Source organism: Homo sapiens, chromosome 2 (assembly GCF_000001405.40).
Source record: "Homo sapiens chromosome 2, GRCh38.p14 Primary Assembly".
In the NCBI taxonomy this organism is placed as follows: domain Eukaryota; kingdom Metazoa; phylum Chordata; class Mammalia; order Primates; family Hominidae; genus Homo; species Homo sapiens.
Window position 1 is genome coordinate 7,050,614 of NC_000002.12, and position 12,044 is coordinate 7,062,657.

Genomic DNA, 12,044 nt, shown 5'->3' on the forward strand with positions numbered 1-12,044 from the left:
TGAAAACCATTGAGAGCCTTCTGCTTCCTGTGTCGTTAAATCCAAATTCTTCACCGTTGCCTATATTTCAGTAGCATAAATTCTCTCATATACCTTTAAGGGAATGGAGAGCAACAGTCTTTTGAAAGACAAGCAGATTCTTGGCTCCCTCACTGGCCTCCATGGGGAAGACTTAGGACTCTGTATACCAGCATTGGAGGGGAATGTCGAAGGGAACGGGAGCTCCCAAGGGAGGAAGTGCTGGAATCCCAGTGCTGTCAGGACCACTCAGACCCCGTCTATATTTATAAACAAGGAGAAGCTCAGTGAGGCAGAATGCCTCGGGTGCAGTCTTGAAGCTAGTTCCTGGCAGGGCTTGGACTGAAGTTTAGATCCTCCCTTTTCTTCATCAGTGCCTTGGTACCACACCACACAGACCAATGCAAATGCACGGAGACATCACAGTCTAGTGCGGCAGGCCGGAAGGTGATGATCACACTCCACAGGTGGTAGCAGAGAGGAGCTCCACCCCCTGCAGGAGAAGTCAGAGCAAATTTCTGGAGGAGACGGAATTGGGGTCGGGGATGGAGAGAGCAGGGGGTTGCTCAGAGCACAGATTGGGAGGGAATGCCACCACACAAACACACCCATGCAAGTAAAGCCGCAGACGCCCCAAGAGAGCTTGGCAAACCTTCAGTGCAGAGCTGAGCTCCAGTAGGGTGAGGGGATTGGAGGTGGAGCAGGTGGACGGGGTAGAGCGGTAAGGGACAGAGGGGATGCACTTTTTAAGGTTTAAGCCAGGCTGGAGGATTTCAGGTTAAGGTTGGTGCTGACACAATAAGATATGGGATTTGCCTACGCCACGGTAGCTGCATGTAGGGGAGCTTGGATGCAGAGGATGAGGGCCAGGACATGAGGTTAGGAAGCCGCCAAAAGGAGCAGCGAAGAGGAGATGGGGGTCTATGCCCAGCCTGTGGAGTGGAAAGTAACAAGTATCAGTAAAAAGACAGTTGAGGGCAGGCACAGTGGCTCACGCCTGTAATCCCAGCACTTTGGGAGGCCAAGGCGGGTGGATGACCTGAGATCAGGAGTTTGAGACCAGCCTGGCCAACATGGTGAAATGTCATCTCTACTAAAGATACAAAAATTAGCTGGGCATGGCGGTGGGTGCCTGTAATCCCAGCTACTTGGGAGGCTGAGGCAGGAGAATCGCTTGAATCCAAGAGTGTGGCTCCCAGATGAAGATGTTCTGCCCTGGCTGCTCCACTCCGGTCTGGTCTGGCTGCTTCAACCTCATGGGATCTTCCTGAGCTTAGTGCTGACTTCCAAGAGTATCAATGAATCCCCCAGTATTCAGAATAACCCAAGGACACCCTCACCCAGGTATGCCCAATTCTCACTCATATTACTCCTCCCTTAGTCCATCTTAATTAGAATGCCTAATTGGAAGTAACATAAATACCTCCAAAATGCCCTATTGCCTCTGTAGCTGTGCCCTGGAGAGAGGAACTCATAAGTTAACAGTCCGTGGTGTCACTCAGAAAGCAGGTGGTTTATACCTTGGCATCACCTCACCTTGATTCTGAACCAGAAAAAAAACAAAACGCTGGCCGTGGCAAACATGAGAAAAGGCTGAGATGATGAGAAACCTTTTTCCTTTCTTCTGTGGTGCTTCACTCCACCTGGGAGCTCACTGCCTAGCATCTAACATGAGGAGCCCCGGCACTTTTCATTTTCTAGTCCTCACAAAAGTGCTACAAATAAATATTATTTTGTGCCCATTTTATAGATCAGAAAACCTAAGTCTCAGTTAAGTTCACCTGCTCACAATGAAAATTAGTGACCCATGAAGCCAGAATATGAGCTGTCCTGTGGCCTCCAAGGATGGTTCTCTCCACTGAATCATTGTGTTGGCTAGTGCCTCTTCTGAAACAGGGCTCTGTAGAGGCAGCGAGGGGTCATTATTTTAAGAGAGAAGCTCAATGTGGTTTAGAAAATGTGTTCTGAGCCTCACCCATGCATGCATCCACCCAGGCTCCCCAGGGACTCTTGCAGTCTGTCCCCAGTCCTGTGTTTCAGAAGGGAAGACTCTGGCTGTGACCCCCATGCTGAGAGCATGTTTTAGGTTTCTGTTGTAACATGGGGTGGGGGGGAATCACTCGTTTACCGAGGACCTTCCTGTTCTCTGGAAATGCTCAGCTTGTATATGAAACAGAAGGATTCCTGCACAGGAGCCCCCCTTTCCAACACACACACACACACACACACACCATTTGCATATGTAATATTTAGGCAAAGCTGGGAAGTTTCCTTTATTTCGCTTTACAATATTTATTTCATCATTTGTCTTCTTTCTCCTGCACTGCATTAAGTATCTCTTGAAAATGACTTCTGTGAAATACTTCCATATGTGTTTAAACTTCTACAACATAATTTTTCAGTTCTTAGTGAAATTGTGAAAGTCAGTTTAGATATTTGCAACTGGTGATAAATTATTTTATTTGATTCCCATGTTATTTTCTTCTCTGGCTGGTATATAATATAAGAGTTGGAAGGAATCGCAATAGGCATCTATCTACCGTTTCTAAAAATGTGGTTTTAGACCAGAAGCATGAGCATTGCCTGAGAATTAGTCGTAAATGTAGACTCTCAGCCCCACCTCAGACCGAGTCAGAACCTGGATTTTCAGAAGATCCCCAGGTGACCAGGATGCACATTATATTAGTTGTTTATTACTGTATAACAAATTAGAAAAAATGTAGTACCTTTAAATATGTTTATCTCCCAGTTTCCATGGGTCTGAGTTCTCTACTCAGGGTCTCACAAGGCTAAAAAGATGTCAGCTGGGCTGTGTTTTCATCTGGAGGCTCAATGGGGGAATTATCGGTTTTCAAGTTCTTTCCATTTGTTGGCAGAATTTATTTCATTCTGTGTGACTGTGATCTCAATTTTTTGTTGTCATCTGGAGGCCACCCTTGAGTGTTGGAGACTGCCTACAGTTCCATGCCATGTGGGTTTCCTTAACATGGATGCTTATTCATCAAATCAGCAAAGAAAATTTATTTCTAGTGTATGATAGCAAGGTAAAGGACTATTTGTTTTTGTGTATATGTATACATTTGTAAGGTACATGGATATGCTTTGGTTAAGAATTAGGCTGAGCAGATACCCAGACCTGCCAGACTCAGCAGGATTGGTGCACAGGTGCACACCTCCACTTGTTATATAACCTGTTTGTGTAAGCTCATACTTGGCTGGGAGCCACTGTCATTTGAGAAAGATATAACTGCCCTGCCGATGCCATACAGGTGCTCTTGGGCATGGCTTGACATGGCTGTTGTGCAGGCACTGGTGCCCAGAGAGAGAAGCAGAGCTTGTCCATCTTGTAGACAGACAGGAGCCAGTGCACAGCTCAGCATGGCATGGCATGGCTTGTGCTTGTGGCCAGAGAGAATCAGCTAAGCTGCTGACCCTGAAGGCAGGGGAGAGCCGGCTGCTGCTAACCCTGAAGGCAGGGGAGAGCCAGCTGCGCAGTTGCTTGTGGGAGTGGCCAGCTCAAGCAGCTGAGACAAGGCAGACAGTGTGAGAAAGCAGCTGATGAGAGAACAGTGTGAGAGAGCTGTTAATGAGAGACAGCCGCTGAATAAAACAACATTTCGCCTGCCTACGGCCCCGCAAGTGTTCTTTCAGCCATCACCCACTACCCTGGACATAACATTCATATCATACATGCACACACATACATATACATACATATGTACATATACACAGAGATATATAATCATAGGAGTGACATCTTTGCCTTGGTGAGAAGTTGCAAGTCTTGCCCACACTCAGGTAAGGGAATTATATAGGGTATGGGACACAAGAGCTACCCTAGGATTTTTCTGTCATGCAAGTTAAAGTCTGAGAAATATTGGGCAAATCCAATCTGTTGCCAAATCCCTCATAGGTGCTAGTACCTAAAGCTTTGTGCCACGGTCTGAATGTATGTGTTTCCCCCAAATTTATATGTTGGGACATAAGACTCACTGTGATAGTATGAAGGGCTCAAGGGAAGTAGCTAGCCCTTTTTGCCTTCCGTCTTTTCCACCATGAGAGGACCACAGCAAGGGGCACCATCTTGGAGGCAGAGAGCTGTCCTCACCAGAACCACACCTGCCAGTGCCTTGATCTTGGACTTCCCAGCCTCCAGAAATAAATTTCTGTTCTTATCAATTACCCAGTCTAAGGTATTTTGTTATAGCCGTACAAGCAGACTAAGACACTTTGCTTCTGTACCAATTTTCCTAAGTGACACACATTGGTTTCTTGCTCCCCTCATTTGATTTTTAACCACTGTCCCTAGCTCCTACACCACTGTTCCACCCAAACCTCTCCTGCTGAAGCCACTAGTGACTTCTCTGCCACCATGCCCTGCAGTTGCTTTACTCTTCCTGATGGCTTCTCATCAGCATTGACAGGCTGGCACCTCCTCTTTGAAATGCTCTCCCTTCCTTTACTGTCCTGTAGCTCTCACTCTCCCAGTTTCCTTCCCACCTTTCTGGCAATTTTTTTCTCAGCCTGCTTTGTGCCTTCTCTTCTCTTCTAAGCTTTGCAAATGATGGAATTATTCAATCCTGAGCCTTGTAGCTCTTCTCAGTAAGCTTTCTTTTCCAGGCAATGCCCCCAACCTACCCAGCTGAAACTGTTTCTCTGAGCTGCAGTTTCACACACTGAATGGTTCATGCTCAGTATTGCATCTTGATTTGGTCTCAAAAGTTCTTAAAATTACACCTGCTCCCAAATTAATGTTTGAAACCATTATACCACCTTTAGCCTACTCCTTCCCTGCAGCTCCATAACTTAGTACTGACACCGCCATCCTCTCCACTGTTCCTTCTCAAAACCATTCTTGACACTGACCTCTTTAGCACTCACACATCTAATCTTTCACTAAGTTTTCAATTTTACCCCTAAATACCTCCCCAGCATGTTTATATCTTACCATTTGCATGGCCAGGAGAGTCTAAGCAAAGCCATTACCCACTCCTGTGTAGGCTACTGCACAGGTGAGTCTGAAACCCCAGCAGGTACCATTTATTAAGTCTGCACTTTCCCAGACCAAACATTCACAGTTCCAAATTTCATTCATGCCTATGATTCTAAGTTGATTCTCAGGAATTAAACTGAAAATCCCAGGTTTTTTCTTACCAGTGGAGAATGGAGTTCACAAAAAGCATCCACGGAGCAAAACTAGCACTGTCCTGTGCAGGTCTCTAGGACTTTCCTCAGAGCAAGTGACTTACCTTGTCACTTGCTTCCTCTCATTGTTTAGACCTTCCTACCCAGATGCTGGGCGAGCATGCACACTCTGTAACCTACTGACGTCTAGTGAGGGTCCTTATGGAGCCTCTGCTCTGCCCAGTAACTAGTCAGAAGACTAGGTAAAGGCTTTATTTCCTTCCCCAGCCCTAGCCCAGTGGTTTGCTGGGAATTTCTCACCCATAAAACTGATTTTAGCATTAGAGTTAATGACTTTATTTCTCTGTGGTCTTGGTTCTCTTACAAATTGGGAAGCCTATAAAATGCACTAGCCAGGTGGAGGAAAGCCTCATGGTGGCCGTTCTGATCTTACTATACCCTTTCTGACATGCTCACTGTTGGTCTCCTTCGAAGGTCTCTCTATGCCAGACTGAACTTGCTTCCTGTCATCCCACACCCATGGTAAGATGTGCCCTCTGTGCTTCCCTTACAACCTAACTTCTCCCATGCTACCATCAATTTCTCAGGCAACTGTGAACCTCCCTCCTTATCTTGGGACATGTCTCTCCTCTGCCACTTATGACTGTTATAGACTGAATTGTGTCATTCCTCCATCCCCCCAAATTCATATGTCAATGCACTGATTTATCTTGAGTACTTCAGCCACACACCAACCATCCCTCCTCAGCCCACCCACCATTCTCAATCTGAGGGTATCTTGGCTCTTAACTCTCTTCTAGGTCATTCCAGTTATGGTTCCTGCAGCACTGGCCCCATTCCACTTTTCGGGTTTTCAATATCCTCCCAATGGCATTTCCTGCTGCTGCCCTCAAGTGTTCCCTCCCCTGTGTTAGGGAATCCCCACTACACATTTTGTTCAGTCCTTGGGGCCCACACTTGATTCAAATTCCATGGTCTCCCCCCCAGTTGTGGCCTTCTCTTCTCTTGCCTCAATACCTACTTTGGAGGCATCTCCTTGTGGCTTCCTTGTTTGTGTATCTCATGCGCCTGCTTCCATTGCAGTGAGGACAATATTAAATATGTGCACCAAAAACTCCCCGGCAGTCTGTCTGCCTGGAACAGCATTTCAGCCCCTCACCTTGGGGCTCTTAGTTCTTTGGAGCCTCCATCTGCTGAGGACCCTGACGTTCCTTGCCAGGGTCTGCTGGATCTCACCCCCAGGGGGTCCTGCCAGTCTGGTGTTTATCAGAGAAACTGCCCATACATCAACAGGAGGTGAGAAGGGATGCTTATGGGGACTATTATACAGCTTTAGTAGTGGAAAATTAGAGGTTTAAAGCTGTCATGCTCTGTCTCTGTGCCATACAGACCTTTCTATATACCCTATACAACAGATTGAAACAATGAATTGCATTGTACTTATTTACAATAGATCCTAAGTTATTGATGATTAACCTGTTTTTCTAAGTAAAGTCTAGCCCAGCTCTATTGCAGCACCTGGTACCTCTTAGAGGCTCAATAAATACCTCCTGAGTGAGCGCTCTGTGTTCCATGCCAGATGCAAGGTTTAGGGACAGCTTAATGAGGAAGGACTTTCTAATCTGGAGGAAATTGGGGAGTCCCTTGGCAAGGGTGTAGCAGAGGCAGTAAGATGTTAGACAGTCAGGAGACCTGGGATGTCATCCTCAATTCATTTGCTAGCTAGATGCACTTGGAAATGCACTCCCTTCTCTGATTCTCAAGTTTTTTTAGTTTGCCAAATATTAAAGTAACTCCCATCTGATGGCTCTCTTGGATGGTATAAGAATAATAGATGAGGAAGCTACTATTCACCTTTCATGCAGGAGAGAGGTTCCATTCATCATGTGGAGATTGGAGTTAAGATCTTACAATGCCTAACAATCCTGGAATTATCAAATTCTAGTTGCTGTGCATCAAATTGAATACATTTTAGATAGCCATACCATCATCATAATTGCTTGGAGTGAATAGATAAAAATTGAAAAAAATCTTGGTATATTTTCTCATAGAAATCTGCCCAGGGATCAAATGTTAAGCAGAGATTTATTAGTGGACACAATGTAGTCAGCAAAGAGGCAGTAGTATTTTGAGAAGCTTCCTGGAGGAAGAGGAACTGGAACTAGGTGTTGAAGGGATGTTCAGGTTTAAACGATGGAGTAGAAGTGAAGAAGTTAATGAATATAGCACTTCTGACATGTGCCAGGTGCTTAATGTCATTTAATCCTCACAACATGAAAGAGGCAAAGATAACTATCTTCTTTTTAATGTAAGTACTGACAGTGTGCCAGGCAACAGATAAGTCAATATGATACCTGAGATAGCTGCCAGGGTAACACAGAGCTCACTCTGAGGACCTAGGGACAGCTCCAAGAGCTGAGACATGAACAAAAAGTAGGAATTAGATCAGAAATGAAGAAAGAGAAGGAAAGTAATGATCGAGAAAAGGGTGCCCCAAGCCACGAGGGTAACATGAGCTATGGCAGTCGGTTGTGAAACCACAGGAAGTGTATGGGGGAACTGAAAAAAAAAAAAAAAAAAGTAATTATCAGAATGTTTTTAGCTTCTTATTCTGGAAAAAAAATTGTTTAAACATAGAAATATCTAGAATAGTATAGAAAACTTCTACAAATTGAACATCATAACTATCATCAAATTGTGGCCATCAACTCTCCATCTATATCCATTCATTTTCTAGTCCTTATATTCTAAGGCAAATATCAGATATCTATGATTAATTTCTAAATATTTCTCTAGGTGTTTCTAAAGGATAAAAACTTTTTATTAAACATAGCTCTAATAATATCCCATCTAAAAGAGTTAACAATTTTTTATATCACATGTCTCTGGTTAGTGTCTAAATCTCCTCTATTATGTCAGAGATTTTTATATTGGTTGGTTTTCATCAGAATCCAATAAAGGTGAATATATTGCAGTTGGTAGACATATATAAATCTCTTTGACTCTATAGGTTTCTTCTCCTATTTTTGTCCTTGCAATGTTTTTGTTAAACAGTTTTTTTTTCTACAGAGCACCCCACATTTTGCATTTTGCCGACCGTATACCTGTATGCTGTGATATGCTCCCCTTCTCCTGCATCACCTGTATGTATGCAGGTCATGGTAGTTACCTGGATGTATGTATAGCGGGTCTATCTAGAGGGGCATTTAAAGAACTTGGAGTGGGAGCTTTTTGACATGGATTGAGAGAGGGTGAGGTGAAAAACCTGTTTAAAAAAATACTGTGGATGGGCTGGGCACCGTGGCTCACACCTGTAATCCCAGCACTTTGGGAGGCTGAGGCGGGCAGATCATGAGGTCAAGAGATCGAGACCATCCTGGCTAACACAGTGTAACCCCATCTCTACTAAAAATACAAAAAATTAGCCAGGCATGGTGGCGGGTGCCTGTAGTCCCAGCTACTTGGGAGGCTGAGGCAGGAGTATGGCATGAACCTGGGAGGTGGAGCTTCAGTGAGCTGAGATCATGCCACTGCACTCCAGCCTGGGTGACAGAGCGAGACTCCGCCTCAAAAAAAAATAAATGCTACTTTGGATGTATCAGAATAATACTGTAAAGGATTAACCAAAGGCTTCAGCTTTCAGTACGTCCTGTTCTGTGCCATGCCCCGTGTTCCCCTCCCACCCACTTCCTGAGTCAGGCAGCAAGGGCATCTATGCTCATGTTGTCTGGTAGGGTTATTACATCAAACATACAGAGAGAAACAAAAGAGTCAAGTGTCAGCTTTCATGTTTTAGAAGAGACTTTTGATGAAGATGCAGAGTGACCAGTATAGAGAGAACCTTGGGGACCAGCTGGAGGCAGATAGCTCAAGCCACACCAGAAGGTCCAGGTGCCAGCAACCAGAGTCCAGCAGTTAAGGAGAAATCTCAATAAACTCTAATGATGACAGATGCTGAGCACTGAGAACCCAGCACTTTCCTTCTCAGTGCTTTGGTGCTGGAGAACTTACACCAACTCAGAGGAGAAAGGGTGAGAGAGAATCACTAAACCAGCTGAAAATCCTTGATTTGCTTGCTTAATATGAATTACTTAAAATTTAATTTTCTTCTCTTGAGTAAAAGTGGCGCTGCAGGTAGAAAAATAAAGTTATGTTGTTGTGGACATCTGAACCCACATAAGGGCTTGTTTGTGTAGCTGTTTATACTTACAGTCTTAAAATGCTATCATAGGAAAATAGCACATTCAAATTAATATTCCCCATCATGTCAGTGTCTTGAAACGTTATCCATGTTCTGGAAGTTTCAGCCATCAGAATGAATCTTCTAGAGTGAATCTACTGCTAAACATAGTTCAACTAATTGTGTCTCCTCTTTCTTCTTCATCTCCTCCTCTCACTTCTCTTCTTTGTTTCTCTTCTTTCTGCCCCTTCTCTTGGCACTTTCCTCAAAACATTTGAAAGTTGAAATAAGACATGATCCTGTTTTGTTTTTTTTTTTCTTCCTAATCTAAGGTTTCCAGATGGATTAGGCTGGCATTCTGCGTTCCCAGAAATATTTCCAGAGCTGAGAGGGGCAGGAAAGAGAGCACATGTGCTGTTCCAAGCTGTCTGTTGCCTCTGTGTGGCCATCTGTCATTTTCTTCAGGCACACGATGACCTGCAGGGCTGGTTCTTGCTTTTGTTACCTTCAAATCCTGAAGGATTCAGACAGACTAACATTCCAATGCCCTTTATAACCTTTCCCCCTGGCAAAACTTCAGCCAGAATAAACCAAAAATGAAATGGAGAGAAAGATCACTGCATCTTTCTGGATCCCCAAATTTCCATTCCAGATTTAGGGCTGATGTTCCCAGCTCGTTGTCCCTAACCACATCGTTGTCACCCTTGGTTTCCCAGACCACACCAGAGATGCGTAGCATTCCCTTACTCTCTTCTCACCTGCAAGAATTTATAACCTCTTCTGAGACCCACTCAGATGCCCCATCTTACATAGAGCCTTTCCTGTGCAGTCATCCACCTGACCCCATCGCCCCTGCAACCCCTGCAGTCTTTTGTTTTTCTTATGCTCTAGTAGCATGTGGTCAGATCAGCATGCCGGCACTTGTGTTGAATTGCAAATACCTATGTATTCCTTTTTGGCATGTAGTTTCCTTGAGAGGAGATGGGACCTGAGTCTAATAGTTTGTTTTTCCTAGTTTCTAGTAGGTGGCACCAAATGATTTCTAGAAGGCTGGATGGAACCTATGGAATCAAAGGGAAATAAAGCAACATTTTGATGCCCTGGGCTCTACTATGGTAGTGGCCCAAGTGTTTCTACTCTGCTCACCCCTGACATTTATGTGAGCTGTCCATGGATATAAAAAAGCTGCTATGATTTCAGACCTGAGCTTCACCATCAGGTCCAAATTAATTCCCGACGTCCAGGCAAAAGAGGAACATGGCACTCTGACAACTCACCCCAAACTCATTTGTGTAAATATTTTTACTGCACAGTTTTATGTCTCCGAGTTGGTTTCTGACTTCCAATGTCAGCACAGAGCTCTCATGGGAGCCTAGCATTCCCACCAGGCTTCAGCTGAATATTTATGAATGTTCCATAGTAGATATTTTCTATTGTTCCTGGAAGACTTTTATTATTTAGAGAGCAATTAATCATATTCTGAGGGAAAATGGAGGAGCCAAGTCACATGGCAAGGGTGATGATGTTTTTTTTAATTCCAAGATGAGCAAAATAATCTCAGCTAAGGCTTTCTCAAAGATTTGCTTATTTCCCGTGTCTATCTGCACACATTTCTACGGGCCATGTTTCCATCACAAGCAGCCAGCTTAAAAATAGGGCTTAGGCAAGTCTTCTGCTGTCAGAATTGCACACCACTCTTTAGGGCCTATGATTTAGGCTGAATGCTGAGGCCTAGAACTACATCTTACATTTACTTTGGTAACGATGGCATTGCTTTTTAAATTACTCAACACAAGAATGAGAAATAGTTTTTAGAGGATAATATAAGGAGGGATGAATACTTTGTTGAGTGCTTATTATGTTCTTTAGATATATTATATGATAGACATTACCTATAATATATTGTATGTATTGTAAATAATATATGAGAGCATTTTTCCCATTTTACTCTGATACACAGAAAAGAGGTAAGAGATGATGTGTGAGTTTGTTATTGATAAGTAACTCATCATTCCAAAATCCAGTTGCTTAAAACACTGAGCATTTGTTATTGTCCCTGAGTTGAGTGGTGACCTGGGCAGTTCTAATCTCAGCAGAGATAACTCAGCCACCTGTGACCAGCTCGGGGTGGGCTGGGAACCTGGTTCTGCTGATTGAGGCTGGGCGCTCACTGTGTCTTGAGCTTTGGCTGGAACAATTGGACTAATTTGGCTCTGTTTCATGCAGTTTCTAATTAGGTTTGGCAGGAATTGTCTTCAGTGCAGCCTGAGCAGAGGTACGAGAAAGAGCAGAAAAATGCATGGTCTCTTGAGGTCTGGGCTTGAAACTTACATCTTAATTCTGCTGAGTTTTGTGTTGGTGGTGGTCGTGTTTTTGTTTTTGCTTTTTGCCAAAGGAAATCTCAAGACTGGTACAGAGTTAAAAATGAAGTACATTCTTCCTCTAGCTGGGAGTTCCTGCAAAGACCCATTGCAAAGGTTATGAATAACGGAGGTCATGTAATCAAGTACAGATGTGTTTTGAGAAATAGTGCTGGGTGCTAAAAAAAAAAAAAAAAAAAAGAAAGAAATAGAAAGAGGGCCTTCAATATCAATAGAGAAAGGTCACAAAAGACATTGCATTATAGTAGCAGGGACATTACAGCCCCAAGGTAAAATAAATTGATAATAGACAGTGAAGGAAGAGAGCCAGATAAAGTTTG

At 43.8% G+C, this 12,044-nt stretch overlaps 1 protein-coding gene across 2 annotated transcripts in view; it reads left to right on the forward strand.

Annotated features, from left to right (window-relative positions):
* RNF144A (ring finger protein 144A) overlaps nt 1-12,044 on the forward strand; it is a 158,956-nt gene that overhangs the window by 133,202 nt on the left and 13,710 nt on the right. The window lies entirely within an intron of this gene.